At 36.0% G+C, this 25042-nt stretch overlaps 1 long non-coding RNA gene across 4 annotated transcripts in view; it reads left to right on the plus strand.

Annotated features, from left to right (window-relative positions):
* The window catches only part of LOC105379107 (uncharacterized), a 339090-nt gene that overhangs the window by 306849 nt on the left and 7199 nt on the right, over positions 1-25042 (plus strand). For 2 of the 4 annotated variants that reach the window (XR_001742831.2, XR_001742830.2), the window contains 2 exons: positions 1226-1351; positions 19485-24129. This is a non-coding gene — a long non-coding RNA (uncharacterized LOC105379107). Of the gene's footprint in view, positions 1-1225; positions 1352-16905; positions 16944-18186; positions 18339-19484; positions 24130-25042 lie in introns of those variants that run through there. The other 2 variants (XR_001742832.1, XR_001742833.2) reach the window with 2 other exon arrangements.

A 25042-nucleotide genomic window follows, 5' to 3' on the forward strand; every position in this document is an offset into this window, starting at 1 on the left:
GAAGGATAAAACAATTGGATAAAGATTTCCTCCCTACTTTAAAATAGTTTCAAAATGAGAATATATTATGAATTGACTGAGTGGGAAGAGACGGTATCATCACCGATATAATTTACACAAAGTCCTGATTTTGTGTTTCTGTCATAAACCTTGAAAGCTGGAAAAAGCAATAGTCTGTCACTTTTTCATTTTTCTCAATTCATATGTTTTCTTGAAAAGCTGATTCTACTCTAAATGTTTGTGCACATACCAAACAAATATTTTGCCTCACAACCATTTGTTCATCCCAATGTGACCATATTTCTCCCCTGGTTTACAACTTTTATGACTGTGTACATATTATTAGCACCTGTTTTCACTCTAAAATATCCTGGGTTAGACTACAAATTATATGATCAACGTAGCCCATATCTGTGTGCATAATTAATTCCAAAAATTCTAGTTGACTTTAGAATGCTGCTTTTTATGAAATAGATCTTATTCAATTATCATCTAAGTAGTGATTTGCAATGCCTTTTCTATGAATGTCAAAAATAAAATAAGAAATGCTGAAAATGTAAAAGGTTTTAAATAAATTTAGATAATATAATTTAGAAAGTATTAAACATTTGTATTTATTAATTCTGGAGAAAAGGTAGATTATAGTGAAATAAAAATATACTTTAGCAGTTATTCATTGATACATAAGCATACAGACAGGAGTTTCTCAAGAATTAAAGTATATTAGTCCGATAAATATTTTTACAAAATATTTGCTCTGAAGCCGTCTGTTCAACAATGCCATTGAGGTAAAATATTAAAGGTAGAGAGAATTTAAAGTTTTACAATATATTTGTTATGTAAATTATATTGGAAAGTTAGCGTTATGCATATATATATATATATTTGAAAGTGGGTCAAGTACAGCACCTTAATTGATCAACGGGGAAATCAGCTTATGACATTTAGATTCACCCATGACCTGGTATAAAAAAAGAAATTGTTTCCTCTGTGACATTGGATTGGCATCAATTATCTCCGGGGAAATGGAAAACCCTGAACTGATGCTTTAAAGGATAAAGAGCCTTTCAGGCACCTCTAAAGTGTGTTTTAGTAAACCATGCAGATTGATGTAATAGTATCCCAAATGTAACTTTCACAATGAAATATGAATAATAATTAGGTAAGATGTTATTTTAAGATTTTATTCCCAAATGGTCCATTCCTTTCATATTCTAAATTCCAGTGCCCTTGTAGGTCCAATTAAGAGGCTTAATTGAAGAATTCCAAGTTAGCAGACTGTCCTGGCACTCAGAGGATATTGTGCCTGGTAATGATAGTGTTGAATTGGACAGAAAGAATATTCACAAAGGTTAGTAGAGATACATGTATTTTATAATGTGACATTTATTTTTTAATCATATGGAAAATTAAGCCTGAGTGCACTTATTTTCTCTTTTTCAAATCTAATATTAAACTGTCCATTGCTTCATTCCCACTCCCTGCCCACCCTGGAATCCCTTCATTCTTAAGTAATGGATAAAAATGCACAAGCAGTAGTAAATTTTAATTTATTATCATTATTTTTCTGTTAATATCTGTGGCTTAGTTTGTTTGAAATGCAGATTGAGGCAAGACATTCTATGACTTTCAGTCACTCCTTCCAAAGTAGAACTATTAGAACAATCAAAGCTAAAATTTGACTAAGGGCACAAGAGAGAGAATTGCCTATATGAATTTGATTTCATACACACATTAGCACCCAATTATACACAGCCTTATGTTGTCCTAGCATATTGTCATGATGCACTTCAACTCTTTTATATGGGGCCTTTGTTGGCATGTCTTTTATCATATTAACATAGAGGCAGGTATTTTCTCTACTGAGGATGAATACCACATAAAACACATGGCAGAGAGTGCATTACTTGTGTGGTATTTACAGTTCTCTGATAAATTGTATGGCAATTATTGTGTTGTGCCATTAATATTTTTCTCTTAAGAATTATACTTACATCTTACTTGTGAGTCATTTCATAAACAAAAAAGTGTAATTACTAATAAAGAATCATTAATCTTAATTTCAAAAATTTAGAACTAGATAGGTAATATATACAATAATAAGATATAGGGTCAAAGGCATTTTAATAATTTTTTAAAGCTATAATTAATTGTGGGTTTTGTCAAACTGTATAATGAGAAACATAATATTTGTTTTTTTCTTGCAACAAATGAAAAGCTAAAATTGGATATAAAAGTTTTCTATTTCTATCTAAAGATGATTTCTTAGAATGATTATCTATTGTGTTTTCTTGTTGTGATAGTAAATACTTGTAAATAATTATTTCACTGCTCCCACTGCCCTGCTCTCATTTTTTAAAGGTATCTCCTGAGTTTGAAGGTCATTTTTTTTTCTATCCATTGGCATTCTAACCCAGTACTCAAATGACTCAGACAGACCAACTTCTTTAATTTCCATACATTAATATTCTCTGAAGTGGCACCAATAGTGCTAACACTTTTCTCACTGACCCAGCAAGTGTTACTTGTCTTTAGTCATAATTCAGAAAGACAGTCTTTCCCACAAATCCTGCATATAAAATGAGTGCCTCATTCATGGGACAAACAGTGAACTTTTGTATTGTTACAAGACTACCTAATGGTCAAATCTCCGTGTGCTGCAAATTTCCACATTCGTCTGCCTTCTAATGTAGCACATTTCAGTGTCATACATCTGGGCTAAACAAATACAGCTCATGTTCAAATATTCTATACCTGTCAAGAAGTTCAAAGACGTTGGAATTGAGTTTTTCTTTATTCCTATGTACCTGTAAAGGGACAAAAGCTAGAGAAACAATTACCATGTTTTTGAAGCTAGTGCTTACTGATGTTTTCCTCAATTATATGAGGAATTGAGATGTGGTCTTTTCTTCCTACAGTTGACATTATGTGTCAAAAATATGTAAATAAGAGAAAATTGCTAAGAATATAGTTTTGTTATAGCTTAAACACTTTCTGCTGGCCAAGCCGCTTTTATTTCACATAGGTCTCTATCTTCTGTACACTCTGGTTGAGAAAACTGGAACTACATATAGTTTTGCTTCCAACAGTTGTTTTGACAGAAATTTTCAAAAGCTGTGTGTTCTTTGCGAAACACAGCTTCCACAATTTGTTTCTGTCTGCCATCTTGTTCAAAACTATATCCCCTCCCCCAAAGAAAAACTATTCTACCTTTAATCTTCTGACTTTTAAATGATTAGTGCTTAATGATAGCTGTCAGTCATTACCAAGACTGCAGGGAACAAACTTCGTGAAATAGAAAGTAGAAAAGTCTGAAATATAAAGTAAAGGAAGCTCTAGAAAATGGTGTGTAGTAAATAAGAACTGTTCACCACAAAGTTATTGCTCTAATTTGCAGTTTTAGGTAATTTTCATCCTAAAAAACTAAATCAGATATAAATAGGATACCTCCATTTTTATCGTGCTAAGAATACTTATTAAATATGATCTCTCTTTTGCACAAATATGTCTTTAACTTCCTTATTTCAGAGACAGAAAATTGTAATATTTCATCTCATTTCAGCATAAGTTTTAGTCTGCTAAACTAATTTTTGTCCTATGACAGAAATTAGGAAAACTTTAAGGTCTATCTTATCAAAAATAGGGCCTCACTACACAGTTTTTTTTTCTTTTTGTCTCAGCACTATACATTTTCAAAATTAAGACAAAGTATAGGCATCTGGGTTAAACAACTACTGCTCAAGTTGAGATATTCTATAGCTGTTAGGCATTTAAAATAAAGAATTTAATTGCACCTTATTCAATGCCAGAATGTCACAGGTTTATTGTTTTAATGATCACAAACATACATAGTATATATTTGTATGTGAATGTGTGTGTATGAGTGTGTGTGTTTGATGAGGAAGAAATGGCTGTTTAGCTCTTTGAATTAAATCAGATACTTCAATGATATTTTGGGGAGATATTTTTGTGTAGTTTTTCAGTATTTAATGGCTATATTTGAATTTTACATTGCAAAATAATTTTATGATAAATATAAATTAGGTGAAGAACAAGTAAATTTCCATGTAGAGCAAATTGTATGTGAAACGTTCTTTTAGACAAAGCTTTGTTTTAATTTGTTTTAAGCATCACTTTTTAAAATTATGGATTAATATTAGCGAATAAAAATCCAGAATTTGAATTGAATTACTATACTGAATTCAACACTTTGGGTTCAAGAATAAAAGACAGTGAACTACTAAATTGTACCTTACATAATGTACAAATCTGTTATGTGAGTATTTACTTTTTTCCCCTTACAAAGTACTAAAATCTCTTATTCTTTGAAATTTCTCACAAAAATGAATATTATCTTTTATTCAAATGGTTGTAAGTAAAATAAACAGTTAGCTTGACCTTAACAACTTTAACTCCTGTATTAACTTCATACATACTTGAGAATTATAGGCACAGCTGAGTAAATTACAGTGAGAATAATTAGAAAAACAGAACAACAGGTGACAATTTGGTCCAGCTGCCAAAATCCTAGATTATTAATTTCTTATTTATCCATCCTTTTTCATTTTACAGTTTTTCTCTTGATATTAGATACTGTGCTCATTCCCTATTGCTCATTTTAATGAATACTTAACCACAGGAAATATTTGTTCATTTCAAGGGAATTCCCCCTGGTTTCAAAAAAGAATGCAGAAGCCATTTCAGAGCTTAATTAGGGAGATTTGGAACCTCTATGCTTGTTCAATCAATTTTAACACAAGTAAAAGCATTTTAACTATTCCCTTTGTCTATGCAATCCTTTGCAACCCAGCAGAAAAATTCCATTCCCTCCACAGTAAGCTTAACCAAGCAGGACAGTCAGTTGGAGTGAGGTCACACTGGAAAATGTTTTTAAAAGGGTTTTCTAAACCCTTTAAAATTTTAAGTTAAGTTTTAATGAGCATTGCAGAAGAGTTAGATCCCCAGGGGGCAAATCAATTTTGAGTGTTGCACTGCCTGTTCCTTTTAGCCTCTGAAGTACCACCTTAGCTGACTTTTCAGTGGTTATGTTGAGCCAGATATTCAGGATGAAAGAATGCAAATATACAGCCTGTGAATTTCTCTCTCACCCAGGGGTCACCAAATCTTTCAGCCATTTTATTTTTTCAAGTGGTGAGAGGGATGGAATGGGTAGAACAAAGTGGTTGGCTATTTCAATACTAAGAGAGGTGTGAGGTTTAAAGTGGGCTATGGAAGGCTTGGGAAGCCTGGGATATGCTTAGTGATTTTTTTTTTTTTTTTCCTCCCTTGGGCCTAGGTCAGTTCCTGGTTTACAGTAAGTTTAGGATTCAGCCTGGGACCCACTGTGGTTTAATGTGACAACCGAAAGATGAAAGAAAGCTCCCTAGTGACATATAGTGAAGTCCGGAGCCCATGTTTACTTTTAATTTTCTCTCATATATGTGCTGTTTAAGGGATTTTTAGACTCTTACAAGCTTGGAGATGTAGGATTCCTCCCTATACAGGTTGCACAATTGCTTCTTCTTCACATATTTCCTCAAATAAACTGACACCAGGCCTCCTACTAAAAGGGCATTATGCTCCAGAGTGTACTTCTCTGGGACTATTTACTACATTCTGCTATGTCCCAGCAGTAAGGAAATTATATATTAAAGATTAACTGAGCATATCATTTCCTTTCTCTAAGCTGCCATGAAGTAAGCCTGCAGACTGCTGCTCAGTGTTTCTGCAGTGTGTCCCTGTGAAAGAGAAGTTTTGAGGCCAGATGAGTATATGTCCTTCATTCTGCCTATGAATAAATATTTAGCTTTTGATTCATGATAATGTACAGTATTGAGCTTTTATTCTAGAAGATATTTTATTACTATTTTTTACCTGTTATCTTTTCAAATCATTACTTAAAGCTCATCTTCTCAGAAAGATCCACATGATAACCCTATTTAAAAATACCACACCCTGGCTGGGCGCGGTGGCTCACGCCTATAATCCCAGCACTTTGGGAGGCCAAGACAGGCAGATCACAAGGTCAGGAGTTCAAGACCAGCCTGGCCAATATGGTGAAGCCCCCGTCTCTACTAAAAATACAAAGATTAGCCATGTGTGGTGGTGGGCACCTGTAGTCCCAGCTACTTGGGAGGCTGAGGCAGGAGAATGAGGTGAAGCCAGGAGGCAGAGCTTGCAGTGAGCCAAGATCGCACCACTGCACTGCAGCCTGGGCGACAGAGGGAGACTCCGTCTCAAAAAAAAAAAAAAAAAAAGTACCACACCTTACTCTTTTACATCTGTGCTCAGTTGTTTTCTCATGGCATTTCACCACCTAACACAATATATACTTTTCTTAGTAGTTCTCTCTTTCCCTATTGTAATGCATGCTGCACGTGGGTAGGGAGTTGTTTATTTTGATTACTTATACATCCCAAGTACCTAGAACGGAGTCTGGCACAGAGAGGGTGTCAAACAAATGTTACATTCCATAAGTTTATTTAATAATTATTATTAATAAAAATATAGTTTGGGATACATACATTAATATAAAGTGAACTCATGTAATATTGCATTCATTTTTATAGCTGAATTTTATGCTTTATTTAATATTTACACCAACCCTATGAAGAGCTGATATGGTTTGGATGTTTGTTCCCTTCAAATCCCATGTTGACAGGTCATCCCCAATGTTGGAAGTGAGGTCTGGAAAGAGATGATTGGATCATGGGAGGTGAACCCCTCATGACTGATTTAACACCATCCCCTTGGTGATAAATGAGTTCTCACTCAGTTAGTTCACATGAGATTTGGTTGTTTAAAAGTCTGGGACCCACGCCTCCCCCACTTCAATCCCCCTTCTCGCATGATTGGCAGCTTCCTGAAGCCTCACTAGAAACAGATGCTGGTACTATGCTTTGTGTACAGCCTGCAAAACCATGAGCCAATTAACCCTCTTTTCTTTATAAATTACCCAGCGTCAGGTGTTTCTTTATAGCAATGCAAAAACAGAGAGGTACGGTGGCTATTATTCCCATTTTAGTGATGAGGAAACAGAATTTATTCAAGGTCATGGAGCTTGTAAGAAGTCAAGAGGGAATTATTTATTTATTTATTTATTTATTTATTTATTTATTGAGACGGAATTTTCCTTTTGTCGCCCAGGCTGGAGTGCAACAGCGTGATCTCGGCTCACTGCAACCTCCGCGTCCCAGGTTCAAGAGATTCTCCTGCCCCAGCCTTCTGGGTAGCTGGAATTACAGGCACCTCCACCACATCCAGCTAATTTTTGTATTTTTAGTAGAGATGGGGTTTCATCATATTGGTCAGGCTGGTCTCGAACTCCTGACCTCAGTTGATCCACCTGCCTCAGCCTCCCAAAGTGCAGGGATTACAGACATGAGCCATTGTGTCTGTCCTCAAGAGGGAATTTATGTCCATTCCTATCTGACTCCTGTGGGCATATTCTTTATACTGTCCACAGTGCTTTATTTATCTTTGAAAGGTCTAAGATAATGCCTTGAAAAACACATGTAATCATATTAATGTGGTGAAATATTGAATTCCAAATGCATTCTTGTTGATTAGAAACTTGCTTTTTTAAATCTGAATTTTCTCTGGGTATTTGAATTCATCTATAGTAAATAATCTCCAACTTTGGATAGCTCAGTTATCCTAAAATATGGAGTCTAGTCACTAGCCAAAATTCAGCCTGAATTTACATCTCCTGGCTTTTTTGCATTTATTTGACAGACTTATATATAATCCTTAGACTTCTGGTAATAAGTGACACTAAAGATGACTGGCATCTTATTTTCTTTCTTTTTTCTTTTATTTCTTTTCTTTTTTTCCGACAGAGTTTCGCTCTTGTCACCCAGGCTGGAGTGCAATGATGCAATCTCGGCTCACTGCAATCTTCAACTCCCGGGTTCAAGCGATTCTCCCACCTCAGCCTCCTGGGTAGCTGCAATTACAGGTGCTTGCCACCACGCCTGGCTAATTTTTGTATTTTTAGTAGAGACGGGGTTTCACCATGTTGGCCAGGCTGGTCTGAAACTCCTGACCTCAGATGATCCACCCGCCTTGGCCTCACAATGTGCTGGGATTACAGGAGTGAGCCACTGCGCCCGGCCTGGCATCTTATTTTCATACTTAACTATTTGGTAAATATTTTGTAGCTGCTTTATAAGAAGTTGCTGGAAAGTGTAAGGAGCATACACAACAATAATCATAAGCAATTTAATGTAATTTTACCTGGGTGAACTGTCTTAAGTGCCTTTAGAGTGACTGTATGATTTCTTTTAGACTTTTTGATTGGATGCATCCCCTCATTTAGAAGCAAAATAAAGAATACAGGCTATTTAAAATTTCATCAATAGTGGGGGAAAAAAGATTAAAAAGTCATTTTTCTTAACATGAATTTTCCAAGACATCATTACATTTGACAGAATAGGTTAGATTATGCTGAGGTTACAAACAACCTGAACAATCTAAGTGGTTTACAATAACAAAATGTAGTTTTTCTTTGTGGTATGCATCCATCGCTGATAAGCTACTGTTCAGCATATTCACTCCAGAACTTTGGCTGAGATCTGCCTCTATCTAGAATATTAGCACTTGTTCCAAAGAGAAGAAAGAGATGTAGCAACTCACATGCTAGCTCTTACAACTTCTGCTCAGCAGTGACATTTCACTGGCCTAAACAAATCACTTGTCTATGCCTGAGTTTAACAAGGCAAGGAAGGGCACCAAGAGTCACATGCCACAACCAGATGACAATGGGGAGGGGGGTGCATATTTTTCCAGGGAGATGAAGTGAATAATTTTACATATTAATAAGATTGACTTAAATTTTCTTTTCAAATTTGACTCACAGAGTTTTTAATTTTTTTTATCTCACAGTAATATGAGAGTATTTTCCCTCCATTTTTGCTGCATCTTAAATACAGCTAGGTAGATTATGTTGGGCTTATATAACTCTCTAAGATCACCAATGATTTCCATTGACTTTCAACTTATGTAAAAAACAACATTATCTTCTACATTTTCTTGAAGGTAACTCTATTTACAATTAGAAGTAGTCTTTGTTCTGAAAATTCACTTGTTTGAATACCCCATCCAACACCTACTCTCCCAGTGATTAAGTTCACCTCGCATGTTTACACATACACGTCTGTTGGCATGCTCTGCTAACCTGGAATAATCTGTATCAAGCGTGCTTTCCAAACTATAGTGCATTTCACATAATAAGAACACAGCTGGCATAGTGGATTGATTCCATGTACTCTGAACATATGGCTTAGAAAAGGTCACAGGAGTCCTGATCAGGAAACTTGATTCCAATTAGAAGAGATGTATTGGGGTCCATAGTCCTGTGAAGAAAAATGCTGATTTATAAATATCAGCTTCATTAGGCACCTGTCTGCCCAATTTGCTGAAGTTATTCAAGTTTTAAGTAAGAATAGCAGTGAGGGATTATACTTCAGTTTGAATATCAAAATCTATTTTGACTAAGGTCAGAACTACAAAGTAAAATGACATCTAAACCTCTTTCATGTGCCTCTCACTACTGGTAATCTGAAGGTTGACTTCAGTATTCATTTGGGATTCCAAATTTCCAACAGGCTAGTACTGTTCCTCTTTGTCCCATGAGACATTTGGACAGCTTTTGTCCTCTTGCCAGAGATACTAAAACAGTAAGGATTACAGCCCTATTTCTCTTTATTGTGGTCTTCAAGAATGGGCAAGGGGTGGGAAGATAGGTATGTGAGCAATGCCCTATGGGCTTAAGGCCTTTCTTAGTCCCAGCAGAGTCAGATGGCCCCTTGCATTGGATCTTTCATCCCAGGCATTATCAGCTGCCTTAGGCTTTTGGATAACTTTCAGAAAAAAACCTTTTTGCTAATGTGAGAGCTGGGTATTATAGTTCTGTCAGCTGCTTCCACCAACTTTCCCTTATTAGTCTTGAACTCCCAATAGCCTTAGGAGAATGCAATTCTAGGAGACTACTAATCAGTATCCATGTGATTCTTTTTGAGAAGTAGCAAGCAATAATCTTGGGGGTGGACTCTTCCCCTCCCTCCTCAATCACTTACTTTATTCATAAGTTCTGCAATCTAGAGTTTCTCTTAGGACACTACAAGGCTGAACATTATTCTTTCATGCAGCAGCTCCTTTAGGAAGCACTATTTGATCTCCTACAATTGCCTGGTAATGTTAGATTTTGAAACACAGCATGGGATCCTTGTATTCCTTCCACAGCCCATTAGCTTAAGGTGATTTCTAACAGTGCATTAGTGTACATTGAATACGGAGTCAAGTTGTTCACTCTATTCAGTGCCTTTCCTTAAAGGAAGTATAAGGTTTTATGCACAGAACTTGGTCGGTTCCAAGGAATAGCTCTGAGTTTCCTACAGCTTGAGAGGATCCAACACTGTGCTTCAGGGATTTTCCAGGTATTTATCCCTACAGATCCACCATTCTCCACTTTGTTTAGTCGTAGAGGTGCTGTTATTGTGAAATGCATCAATAGGTACACTTGCCTTCTGGATTCTGGTTTGATCAAGTTAGGCATGGGCAGGAGATTAGAGGGTGAAAGGAGAGTGAGGTAGGCGGCATTCACTCCCACAGCTCCTACCTACTGCATTCCTTTACAGCAGCTGCTCCTTCAGTCCTAAAAGTGTAATGGATCCCCACGTCGCAAGCCCTGATATTCTGCACCATCTCTTCTTGGTTTACCTTGACACTACCCATGTTTATAAATAGTCCCTTTGATACCTCTCATCAGTTACCCCTTTTGATGTAATATCTTTTTTTTCTGCTATGAATTTGACTGATACAAAAGCAGTTTAAATTTAACAAATGGTTACAATTTTGAGTGACTGATCCAAGCAATTATGCATCTCCAGTGTATTTGGCTCATTCTTGTGATGTTGTTTTCTATAACTTGTGGATGCAATTGCTGCTATTTAATTGTAACTCACTAACTTTTATTTTACCACTGTGCTCTTCATTTCCTGATTTGAAACATCTTCCTTCCCTACCTAAATAGTCTTCCAGCTTTGATAATGTATGTTCCTAGATTAGAATACAGTAGTGTGTAGATAGTAATCTTTTTTATGCATTGAATATATGTAACTATTTTTAGGAGACTTGAGAACAAACAAGAGTGTGAGAAAAGTCAGTTAGTTCTATGATAGATTTTGTAACTCTGAGAAAGACTTTTAACATCTCTAGATTTTAATTTCTCCTTATGTGAATTGAGGGAACTGGTCCAAAAAAGTGTTTTGTCCCATGACCACAATTTATCCTTTTATTAATCCTTATCTGTATGAGGATTAATACAGAGACTCAGAATATGAGGATTAACTCAGAGACTGCTTATAGTGTGTTAATCTAGAGTAACTTAGTGGAGAATGGGGCTAGAAGTGTCAATTTTGCTCCTAAATTATCTTTCTTGATTCTAGTCATCCTTTGGAAGACTTATGGATAATGGTCTTTAGGTAGGGTGTGAACTTCCTTGAAACTAGGTTAAAAAAACTATGCCCCTGCATCTTCTTCTGGGGCAACTGTCCACAGATTTCTAGATTCTCAAAGGACTAATGACTCTCCTTCTCACAAAAGAATAAGGACCACTCTCTTTTGTCCTTTCCTCACCCCTGAGGTGTTAGAAGACATGGGGTGTTAGAGTTCCAGACTGCCAGATACATAATTTGAATATATTTAAATGCTTCCATAAAGGCATTTATCATGTACCATGAGCCATTTTCTTTTCATAGATTTTCAAATTTCTTTAGTATCTACTGATGGATTTTCAGATGAAAAGATCAACCCTTGACTCAGAGAAATGAGAAAGAGGTTTTTTGTCTATGTGACTTACTTTATAACTATAAACAGCAGGTACATTCAAGGACTCTGCTAGGATAAAGAGAAGAAACTGATTTCTCTCACAGAGAAAATCAGATTAGGAGACTTTATTTTAAAATGAAGTGTCTGCGTTCTGTTTCTCAGAGTGCTTTTCGTTCTCAGAAACACTGACTTATCTTACGGAATTCTCATTGAAGCTTCTGTCTTTATCACACTGCCCTATCAAGTCTTTGGTTTTTCTAGCATTGATTTTTTTTTTCTCCTGTTTTCTTTCTCTTTACAAGAGGCATCAGGACACATCTACATGATAGCAAGTGAAATAACACATCCGTATTTTCATACAGGCTCAAATTCTAGAGGAGGTAGAAAATTGCTTTGCCTATGGGTGATGTTTGTGTTTCCAAGATATTCCTCTCTCTCTTCTATATGTGTGAGCATCCTCAATATTCCTGCAAAAACAGATTAGCTATTTTAATCAATGATTGTGTTTCTGTCTACCTGCCTATCTACCTACCTTTCATTTTTCTGTCTACTTGTTCATTGTCTATTTATCAACATACATACATAGAATTTTGAAACAGTTTTAAGTACTTCACAAGAATTAACTCATACTTTGCGAAATCCTCCAAACCAGTGATTCTCAAAGTTTTCAGTCTCGGAATTCTTTTATACTCATGAAACTACTGAAGAAACAAACACCTTCTGTTTATGTAGGCTTTTTTATTATTTGTGTTTCACATTAGAAAATTAAGACAATTTAAACTATTTATTTACTAATTTTTTAACAACCATAATGATGAATCCATTACATGCTAACCTAAATAACATTTTTAATAAAAAATAAAATATTTCCAACATAAAAACAATGTCATGAAAAGAGTTACACTGTTTAAAATTTTTCAGATCTTTGTAATGCTTGGTTTACAAGGGAAAACCAAGGAAATGGTTTACATAGGGAAAACAACTAGACTTCCCTATCTTTCTTTGCATTCAATCTGTTGTAATTTTGAAGTTTTCAGAAAGCATATGAAGAGTTCCAGCTTCGTTTAGATATCTAGTTAGAAAATGAAGGATAATTTCAATAAACTAAAGGTTATTTGCAATGTTGAGTCTGAAATCATGTCAATAAATTTTTCATAGTCGGTTACATTTGAATCCATTGGAACATTTTGCACACTGAATGAATATTTTTACCCATGTGCAATTTTGGAACATCATGCATTATTTGGAAAATGTCGGTTTACTGAGATATGCATGTCTTGGCAGGGTTTGGACATGTCATTATACAACATAAAAGATCAAGATATAATAAAATTAATATTTTTACTATTTAGTGATTCACCAATAACATCCTTAAAGGAAAATGGCTTTTTTTTTAACTGCAAATGGATTATGAGAGGAATACAATGATAATAATACATTTTAGGGTTACTACCTTGGTTTGTGAGAGTCAAGGGCAAATAATGTCTAAACATTATTATGGAAGTAGTTTTGACTTCACAAAGCTCCCGAAAATACCTCTGGGATCCCCACATGTCCACAGGGCACACTTTGATAAGCACTGCTCAAAATAGTCCTTGAGTAGGTTGGCATCATTATCCTCATTTTATAAATGGGGAAACTGATGAAGAGAGTTTATGTGGCTTTCTCTAGGGTACCCAGCCAGTAAATGAAGTAAGAGGGATTCATTTACCAAATCCATGCCCTTAAGCCCCATTTTGATAAATAAATAAATAACATTATTTCAGTCTTCACTTTACTTGACCTATGTCAGTTCTCATCATTGCTGTTTCCCCTCTCAGCTACTCTGTTACCTTTGCTTCCAAAACATCATCCTGTGCTAGTTTTCCTATACCTCATAAGCAACTGTTTTTTAGTCTTTTGCAGTGGCATTCTCCTATACTCATCCATTCTAAAAGCTGGAGTACCTTAAGGCTTCATTATTTTTTCTCCTCTCTTCTTCTATTTGAACTCTCTCTAGGCAGTATCCATGAGCATGGCTTCAATTACCATTGATATGCAAATGACTCACTGATTTCTATCTCTTGCTCTGACTTCTCATCTGCAAAATACTTTATTTTTAACTCATTTTACATGATTTCTTCTCGCAAAGACATCCTAAACTCTAAAATTGGAAGGGGCATCCTCCTCCTATGCCTAAACCTAGCCTAAAGCTGGTTCTTTTAGGTTTCTTATTTAATAAATGTGATTACTATCTACCCAGTTATAAGACAGAATCTCAGGAGTTACTCATGTTACGTTTTTCTCCCTCAACACCATTCCTCACTGCCTTAAATGCCCTCATCCTAGAATAAACGGCCGTCGTGTTTTTTACCTCCTATCCATTCTCCACAGTGCAGCCAGAGTATCATGCAAGTTCAAACCTGTTTTATTTCTGCTAAAACTTTTTAGGGGCACTCCTTTGCCTTTAGGATAAACACGAAACTTCAAGGTGGTCTATAATGAGGGCAACTATATGTCCCCAAGTTACTTGGTACCTTCCCCAGCTGTGCCTGTTGTTATTAGGAAGAACCTGTTTCATTTTCAAATGTGCCTTGGTTTGGATGATGAACCTACATGGCCACACTATGCGAATAATCTGATCTCTGATATCATAATGTACAAAGGTCTCCCCTACTCTACGCTTCACCAGAAATGCTTTTTTAAAGTCTGTGAGTTACACACATTTTTATTTATTTACCTCTTAATTTTTCAGATTTCAGCTCAGTCTTCCCATTTTAGGATAGTCTTCCACATTCTCCCTGTTTCAGTCTGATAGCTTCATAGAAACTCTCATAGCTCTTGTCTCCTTTGTAGTGGGGGGATTGTGATAAATTTCCATATCCCATCTTAGAGTAGAAGCTTTCTGAGGGCAATGAATGTGTCTTTTTAGCTCACTGTTGTATCCTCCAGTATCTTTCAATATTTAGACAAAGTGAGTATTCCGTGATTTTTTGAAGGAATAAATTCACAATGCTTGAGATATTGTTAGTAATTCATATTTTTTCCAACCTTTGTGGAAAAAGTTAAGTTTTAGTTATTTGGAACGTTCTTTTAAAGTGCAAATGTAAATAGCTTTAAGCAACGTTAAGATCTCCTTTTTCTGAGGTGATTCATCAGTTAATTCCTTCTCTCTATAGGAAGAGACCAGGGGATAAAACTGGATTGAGAATAAAGGAAAGAATAGGGTAGTGGTAGAAGTTAAAGTGTGTGTGTGTGTGTGTGTGTGTGTGTGTGTGTGTGTGTGTATGTGTATGTGGCAGAAAGGAGGAGATTTTCTTTCTCTATTTGACTCCTGCCATGTAGTTCTGTTGGGTAAACTGTCAAGTAAAATGCAGACACTTGCACTGGAGAAAAATACTTTGATATAGGCAAGCCAATGGGACTTGTTTTTCTATTTTTCCCTGGTGAGGTGTTTTATTGTTGGCTCACCAGTCTCTCCAGCACCTGCAACAATTGCTGTCCCTCTCTGAAGAAGAGGCAAGGGAGAATAGTGCAGGATATGGAAGGTATAGAGGTAGTCTGAGAGGTCACTGTAGCTTTGTTTAGTGAGCACATGGAGGACAGAGCCTTTGCCCCTAAGTCTTCAGGATTTTCCAGAAGTTCCATATTGATATAATACTCTGAGTCACAGGTAATCTAACAATGACCTCTGCTATAAATGCCTTGAAGAAAGCTTCCTTAAAAGGGGTCATTCTAGGATGATGCTCAATTTGATAAATGTTCTCACGTATTTTAGCCCATTGTTTGTCAGGGGATCTGAAAGTATAAACTCTGGTTCTAGTGGCAGGGACGTTTTTAGCTAAAATTATGAAAACACCAAGTGACCTTTGATCTACTTAGAGAGCTGGAGACACTTCACATTACTTTGCTGACCCAGGAAGTGGCAAATGACTACTATAATTACATGATTCAAAGCTCCTCCTCAGCCTCTGCTTTCACCTTGAAGGCAGATGATGTAATAACCACATGCCAAAGCATCTGAGAATATATTGAAGGCCTATGGTATTTAATTTATTTAGTCTCAAGACAAGATTTGTAATCTATTCCCTTGAAAGATACCTGACACATTTGAAACACAGTTTTGTGTTGTGCATTTTCTGTGACTTAATGGTAGTTTTGTTTAGCAGTTTGAAAAATCTTTCCAATGACTAATATTCAGTCATTAATACAATAACTGACAATATTAGACCATTTTATAAAATAAATAAAAAATAAAACTTGTTCATATCAGTCACCAAAATTTTCTTTCCTCATGGTTTTCTTCAACTTTACTTTTGTGATTGTTTTACTATAATTTTGCATATTTAATTTAGTCATTAGTGTCAATATCTAGAGAAGGAAAACTTTCATTTCTGTAGTCTCGTTGTTAAGTGTAGCAATGAGGATTATTCCTTCAAATCTACAAAACTAGTCAAAGAAATCAATTTCAATTAACAGATTTCATTATAAATTCATTAACTTCCTCTGTACTTTTGAGAAAAATTTTAAACTTTGCTTTACTTTATAGCTTTTGTTTCATAACCCAAGTTGTTAAAGGAAATCTACTATTAGGATAAAGGACCATAAATACACAAAATAATGTTGTAAACATAATAACTCAAACTTGATTGTTTTGAAACTTGCAACTCAAATTTTATAAATGTAATATTTCTTTACTCACAATGTAAATTAAATGCCATGTAAGAACATTTTCCACAGTGAGTAATTCTCATCTTGAAGTTTAAATTGTATTTATACATGTTAGCTCATATACTTTAAAATAGATGCCCTATTAACAATTTTTTTTTTTTTTTTGAGACAGAGTCTCGCTCTTTGCCCAGGCTGGAGTGCAGTGGCGCAATCTCGGCTCACTGCAACCTCTGCCTCCCGGGTTCAAGCAACTCTCTTGCTTCAGCCTCCTGAGTGGCTGGGACTACAGGCGCCCACCACCATGCCTGGCTAATTTTTGTATTTTTAGTAGAGACGGGTCTTCACCATGTCGGCCAGGCTGGTCTTGAACTCCTGACCTCAGGTGATCCACCTGCCTCGGCCTCCCAAAATGCTGGGATTACAGGCATGAGCCACCGCGCCCGGCCACAGACTCCATTTTATAGGTAAGATTTGATTAAGTGGTTTTAGAGGTTTCAGTTTAAATGATTTTCTTGTATGCTGCCATTAGAAAAGGAACAGAACAAAGAAAGTGCACAATAAATATGTGTTGAATGAAGTAATGAACCTTTAGGATAATTGTTCTCCATTAAGTCTATGTTGAATAAAAATAAAATAAAATAAAATAAAATGGAGTTTGTATCCTCACCACAGTACATTCTCATTGGTGTTGGGATAGTAAAATCTTAATTTTCAGAGTTATGGAGTTGAAAGGCTACCACCACAAAATGTGCATGATGACATTTACCCAGCCTCAGTGACACGACACTTTCGAATGAGAGCTCCAAGTTTCTCGAGTGAGGCCCACCTGCAAGTCATTATAGACCATAATGTGGTTCTCAGAGCCTGACCATATTATTTATAGAGCTTGACCTGACTGTCAGGAAATAATGACAGCATTTTATACTTCTGCTGTGCCCTACTTCTCAGTGTTCCTTACCAACATCAATAAATTCTTATATCACTTCTGTGGGGTATTAGATGATAAATATTATGACATCGAGTTTTACAGATGGGGAAGTAGAAAATGAAGCACAGATGTTCAATAATTTTCTCCAATTTCCAGTCACTATGTAGGACTTTTCCATAAGCCATTTAAATAATATCAAGGATAAAGACTGATGTATAGGGAAGTAGAAATGGGTGGAGGGGAGCGGGGCACATTTGAGTCCATTGAATATGGACAAGCTACTGTGGGAGTAGTTAAGCTAGAAGGTGATTGAAAAAAAGGTGGTGGGATTAAGTTACTGTGATTTATTTGTAGCTTCTTCCCTACTAACTGCCAAAAATGATTTGAAATTGGAGAATTTAGTATATCTATTTTCCCCTTCAGTATCCCTTCTGGAAAAAAGAATGATAACAGATTCCAGTAATAAAATTGTGTATATTCCTAATGAGGTATTATTGCTTAGTTGGACTGATTATACTCTCTGGTAATGAGTTTGAGGATAGACTAAAAATGAGTTGGTTGGGAATTCATATTTTTTGATATATTTAGCACTAGTATTATCTTATTTTTTTTCTCTCCCTTAATCTTTATCAACATCTGCTCATACTGGTCACTTCATCATTCACCAAACAATATATATTTAAAGAGAATGTACTTCATATACATGTATTATATATGTTCTAATATGTCTCTCTCTATATATTTTGTACTATACACATTGTACAATGTATTATATACAGGTGGCTGTCCATATCCATGGGTTCTGTATCCATAGATGCAGAATTCTTGAATACAGAGGGTTGACTGGGAGATCTGACATCTGCAGGTTTTGGTATCCGTGGAAGGTTCTGCAACCAATCTCTGGTGGATGTGAGAGGTGATTGTACTTAAGGTAAAAGTCAATGGAGAAGGCCACTATTGGAATATGGCCAACTCAAGGTGACCCTGCAAAGAGGAAGTTTGGAAAATAAAAACCCTTTCCATGACTAAACCCTACTGGAAGCCAGAAAGTCAACTGCTGTGATCACACAGATGAGACTTCTGGCTTGGAAACAGAGGAAAAGTGTGAACAGCAAACTGGGAGGGACAAATAAAAAATATCTAACTTTTCCTTCCTACCACAAATTTGAATTATGCCCCAATCTATTCTCATCCTGACCTGAGGTCTCTTTATTCCAATTGTCTTCAATCAAATTCTGACTTTGTTGCAGATGCCAGCAGAAGTTATCCAAATGAAATGGAAATAAATTGATTACAAATAATATTCAAATAAAAAATAAATAACTTGTGATACCTGCTGAAAAATTTAGTGACTGACATATATCTTAAATATGTGTCTCCTTTAATTTGGTCTTTCTGTTAATAATGTGGTAAACTAAAGGCTAAAGGTAGTCCAGCCTATGAATCAGGAGTAACATAGGCATGAGTTTTTCTTGTGTTTGCATATACACTTAAAAGTTGGTTACTTACAAGATATAACTTTAAATCTCATAAAAATTATTGTTACACAACTTTGAACTGTGTTTTTTCTTGTGTAAAAGTGAAAAAGTAGTGAACTAGGCAAAACAGAATGTAGTAAAAGATACTCTCACCTGGCCATCAATATGGAAACATTTAATTTAAAATAGTTTCCAGAAACATCAAGAGAAGATGCATATTAGTGTGTTAATTATTCTCATTCTCCATAGCAGGAACTATGCTTTATTCATCCTTGTACTCCTGAAAGCCAAGCTGGCCAGTAGAAGGTTTATAGAAAATGTCTTATAAATATGTTTGTTTTATTGTACAACTTTTGTCTTGTTTATATAAAATGTATATATAGATAAGTGATTTTTTCTATTAGTCATAAATATTGATTTCACATGTAGATGGTGTGAAATGCAGATGTGGATCCACATTTGACCAAACTTGTTCATCACAGAGTTATCACAATCTCTGGGTCTAATCTAAGAAATATACTGTTTTCTTATACCAAGTCAAGACTCTATGACCTGCTCCTCTACCTATTTTCACCATTCTCATCTCTTCCTATTTACAGCTTCAAGAAAGGCCTCCTCTGCTAAAAATGCTCTCTGATTAGCCATTCACTGCTTCCTGAACTATGAAGACATCTTCTAGGAATACTCAGGATCTTCTGCTATGTGGCTTTAATTTATTTTAAGATTAATTCCTCATTACCTTCTTACACAAAGCCACCATTAGCATATCAAGCACAGCTGTACAAATTTTTAAAAGGCCAAAAGATGTATCTGCCAATTCTAGGAGGATATAAACCTGAAGGCACAAATCTGGGCTGGAGCACATGGTTTCCCTTGTGAGAAGAAAAAGTCTCCTTCCTCTGAATGGACACACCTTGCACACCAGGGCACAAGGTTTGTCTAGAAGAGCACAGCTGAACATCATAAAGTGCAGAACCACACACCTGGCATCCTTGTCCCTACACAAGGTATGTTGCTGTTAAAGTATAATTTGTTACTCTCCAAAGCACACTCACAATTCCCTACTTGGGTCCCTTGTTGCATGTTACTGCTCCTCATTTATGCATTTGGATGCTTTCTTATATTTTTCCTCAACCTCTACCACATTCAGTTAGGCACTCAGCCTATATTTCATGTATACCTATGTAGCAGGTCTTATGACCAGAGTTGGGGATGCACAGAAATTGCAGATTTCTTATTCATGACATTACTTCTCATCCCCACAACTCAATATGATAATTCCTTTCCCTAACCACCCCACTTCCCAATGCACATAGTATTTTGTCTGTACTTTCCTTTGGGAATTTACATTTTCTACTCTTTCTAGTACTGTGCAAACATATGTTTTCTTTGCCATTAAACTTAATGGCATGGACTTAAAAATCTTGATATCTAGAACAGTGCCTAGCCCTGTAACTTGAGGATATAAATTAAACTTAATTGAATTATTCATTACCTTCCTTGTAACTTTAACTGTCGCATTATGACTGTAACTCAATCCGTGTATTATATGTCAGCAAAGTTGAGCGCCTTTTCCGTGCAGTTACACTTTGAGTTACTTAAGGATTACATCCTTTTGCTAGAGTCCTCAAACAGCATTTAGTGGCATCTTTCAGACATGTGGCGCTTGCAGAGCTCGAGAAAAGATGGCAGAATTATATGTCTTTTCCTTTTTCTTCTTTTTGGCAGCTCTTTACCTAATGATGTAGACTATATTTGATACACTGTAGTTTTCTTATTCTGCTAAATTCCTCATCAACACATGACCTCGATAGATATTGCTGTCAACATCTTCAATTTCTTCTTTCTATTTATCTTGACAAATCCCTGGGTGCAGTATTAATTTTATCTACCTTAGCATGGAGGTGATTATTTTAGCTCATTTTAATGCTCCTTCTATGTAGTTGCCCATTAGTGATCGCAAGAAGTTGATTCTACAACCACTACTCCCCTCCTGCCTCACTGCAGATACCAAAACTTTCAGTTCCTTGTATAAAATGGTATTTGCGTATAATCTACACACATCTTCCCATATACTTTAAGCCTTCTCTAGATTATTTAAAATACCCATTATGATGTAAATGCTATGTAAGTAGTTATACTCTACTTTTTATATACATATTTTTATTGTGGCATTGTTATTTTTATTGGGTTATTAAAAATATTTTCTGGCCTGGTGTGGTGGCTCACACCTGTAATCCCAGCACTGTGGGAGGCCGAGGTGGGCGGACCACGAGGGCAGGAGGGCTAGACCATCCTGGCTAACAAGATGAAACCCTGTTTCTACTAAAAATACGAAAAACTAGCCAGTCATGGTGACATGCACCTGTAGTCCCACCTACTCAGGAGGCTGAGGCAGGAGAATCGCTTGAACCTGGGAGGCAGAGGTTGCAGTGAGCTGAGATTGCACCACTGCACTCCAGCCTGGACAACAAAAGCGAGACTCCATCTCAAAGAAAAAAAATGCATATATATATATATGTATTCTATCCACAGTTGGTTGAAACTGCAGATGAGGAACATGCAGATACAGAGAGCTGACTGTATTCTGGTCATCATTTCTTCTTTTTTGTTCCTTTGGGCCTACCAAGGGTGATTACAATTCTGCTTTTACTAGGCCTGGGTTATCTCAGTCTCTTTGTAGTGTGATGCAACTTTTATAAATAATCTCTTTTTTAAACCCTCTTCAAATTATGGTAATGTAAGAATGACATTTATTTTCTGGAGGGGAGACTGCATGATTAAAAAGACAAAAATAGAATTGAAGGTTTTAACTATATGTGCAGTCTTAAGTGGAAATGACATACGGACACTGCCTAGAGGGCAGTTATTCAGACATTAAGTTTAAGATCACTCAGCCAGACTGAGGAACAAAACTGTGGAGAACAGACATTAAAGATTAGAAAAAATAGCGGGTCTAAAGTTCTATGAAAGCACCAGAATATAAGAATGAAAAGATTATGTCAAAGCATGCAGCAAAACAGACATGAGACTTGAGTGAGAAGTAGGGTCTTGTCATTAAAGGTGATTACATTCTCTTCCATTTATACTAGGAACTGCAGAGATAGGGACAAGACGTGTATCTGTAACTGGTTGAGCTGCTGGTTGGAAGCACATAATTAAAATAATGGGGTACAGCAATAATTTTCTTTTATTAACATATTAGAGCAATTAATTTATTCATCCTTTGAAAAGTATGCATTTTAGGGCCATATATGTATATACTGATCCTCCTCAAAAATCTTCCAGTTCTTTTACCAAGACTGAACCCCGACTATTTTGTAGTGATCTGAGGATTAGACAACCAAGTTATTGGGAATTAGATTTAGAATTATACAAAGTTGTCCACGCCCTTATGTCCAGAGCCTATGAATATGTTACTTACCTGGCAAAAGACTTTTGCAGATGTAATTTAAAGTTAGGACCTTGAGACTAGAAGATTATCTTATATTATTCGTTGGGCCCATCTATTCACATGAGTCTTTAAGAGCAGACAACCTTTTCCGGCTATGGTCAGAGAAAGAGATATGATAAAGGATGAAAGAAAGGGTCAGAGAGATATGACATTCTTGGCTTTGACAATGGAGGAATGTGGGTGGCATCTAAATGCTGGAAAAGGCTAGAAAACAAAATTTTCCCTAGAGCCAAGAACAAAAGAAGTTGCAATCCTGCCAAAGCCTTCATTTTAGCATGGTAAGACCCCATGCTGGACTTGTGATTTATGTAAACATAAAATAATAAATTTGTGTTGCTTTCAGCTAATAAATTTATGGAAATTTGTTACAGCATTAATAGAAAACTAATACCAAAATCAGTTTATAGAATACAGAACTTGGGATACTTTGGATAAGGAAATAAAATATAACAGAAAATTCCACCTGTCTTGGAAAAGACTTGATAAGGTCAAATGCCTATCAGGAAGGATCCTATAAGGGTGAAAAAAAACAATAAGGAAAACCAAGTCAGTAGGTCAACTGAGTTTGGCCAGAGAACTATGTAAAAAGTCAATAATTTATGAGTAGAAAAGTTGGTATTATTTAGAAACTCAAGACTACTCACTTTTTTTTTTTTTTTTGAGATGGAGTCTCGCTTTGTTGCCAGGCTGGAGTGCAGTAGTGTGATCTCGGCTCACTGTAACCTCTGCCTCCTGGGTTCAAGTGATTCTCCTGTCTCAGCCTCCTAAGTAGCTGGGACTACAGGTGCACGCCACCACACCCAGCTAATTTTTGTATTTTTAGTGGAGACGGGGTTTCACCATGTTGGCCAGATGGTCTTGATCTCTGGACCTCGTGATCCTCCTGCCTCGACCTCCCAAAGTGCTGGGATTACTGGGGTAAGCCACTCTGCCTGGCCTATCCACTTTTTTTTTTTTGACAGGTGAGAGATGACAGTGATGGAGATAGCTCACATCTGCGTGCTCTTAACTGTTGCATAGTACACTTGTTTACATATTTTTGCCATGGGCAGAAACGGAAGAAGCCCATTCAGTATACATACCAGTATGTAATGATTATAGGAATATTGGATTTTGATCACAACATTTTAATAATGGCATCCCCAAAATTAAAATAATTTAAATGTTCTGAAAAGATGTTGTTTTCCATTTCAAAAGGATAAATAAAACTGGATATGCTATGGGAATGATAAATCTGTACATGGTTTGGGAATGATTTTCAGATAATGACCCATAAGTCCTCTCTAGCCAATACATTTAAGGAGATACTTTAGAGTTGGAGAGTATGATTCTTCCCTTATTTAGGGCTAGAGAAGAAAAAGTTCTTCACATTTGAAAGGAAAGATATGTTAAGATATACAATGAATTGTATCTTTCCTTTGAAGTGTGAAAGTCAAGGTACACAATTAGTCAAGGTATACAATTCATTTCAAAAGCAGTTATACCATAATAAACAAGTTTGAAACATTTTCTAAAAGCCTTCAATATTTAAAAAAATTGATGTTTTAGATTTTATGAGTATCCATTTAAAAAAACCAGAAGTCAGCTGGTTAATTCAATGAATGTAGATTTTTCTCACATTGTCGTGTTTCAGTACAATTCACAGCTGTATAAATAATGCCATTCATAAATAGAACTCAAGCAAATTCAATTCTGTTTCTATTAATGTGAAACGTGCTAAAATTTTCCACTTTTGTTTGCCTAAAGAACGTGTATGTCTTGGCACACAAAAGCTCTCTTGTGTTCCTATAATTGTAAAAAAAAAAAAAAAAAAAAAAAAAGTTAAGCTAACCACCACCTCAAAATCCTAAGGGCACCAAGCAATCATCTTTCCAAAGAGGTCTATATTTTCAGACATGACGTGTGTTACTGATTGTGGAACAAAATCCACTGTATAATTTCTGCGGTTGTCTAAAACTGACAAAGCAGCTGGGAGGAAAAACGTACTGGTTGCAGTTTCCCCAGATTTTCTTTCATCTAGCTCTGAGGAATTCTTTTTCAGAGTATACACAACACAATCCAAAAAGAGGGGCTTTTTTGAATGAAACATGTTCTGTCTTAAGCAAGTTCTAAAGTGATCCAAATGTGAAGCTTTAGAATCTGATGATACCTACTCCATGGAGGCCTGACAGTAAGTCATGTAATACATCGATGATTTTATGGGTTTCTCTGTTAGTAATTCCAGATGGTGTGTCTGTGCTCTGGCTGTACACTCTACCTAAATCATCTCACTCATAATCAACAGATATCCAGAAGCACTTTAATTGGAAACACTTAATTTTACCAGTTATTTGTAACTTTTAATACAATCTCATTTAAGAACATGGAGTCCCTTGCTTTTCATAATACTGAGCTCTTTTTCTGGAGAGCAGGTTTTGGATGGATATGTGCTGCTTGAATCAATGTTGTTTTCTGAGAATTTGTGTGTTCCATATATTTGTGGTTCAGTCTTCAGAAATGCTGCTACAGCATCTTCTGCACTTCTCAACACCACCTTCTTGCCAGCTCTTATTATAGACTAAAAAGGACTTCAAAAGAAAAGCATGTTTGCCACAGTTGAAAAATGATTGCTGTTAATGCCAGGGTCTTAGTATCAGCTCTTCAAACCACCATCATTAATCTTAATTAGAAAACTAAAGCAAATGTTTTTTACCATTTGCAATT

The sequence above is a fragment of the Homo sapiens genome, chromosome 5 (assembly GCF_000001405.40).
Source record: "Homo sapiens chromosome 5, GRCh38.p14 Primary Assembly".
Classification (NCBI taxonomy): Eukaryota; Metazoa; Chordata; class Mammalia; order Primates; family Hominidae; genus Homo; species Homo sapiens.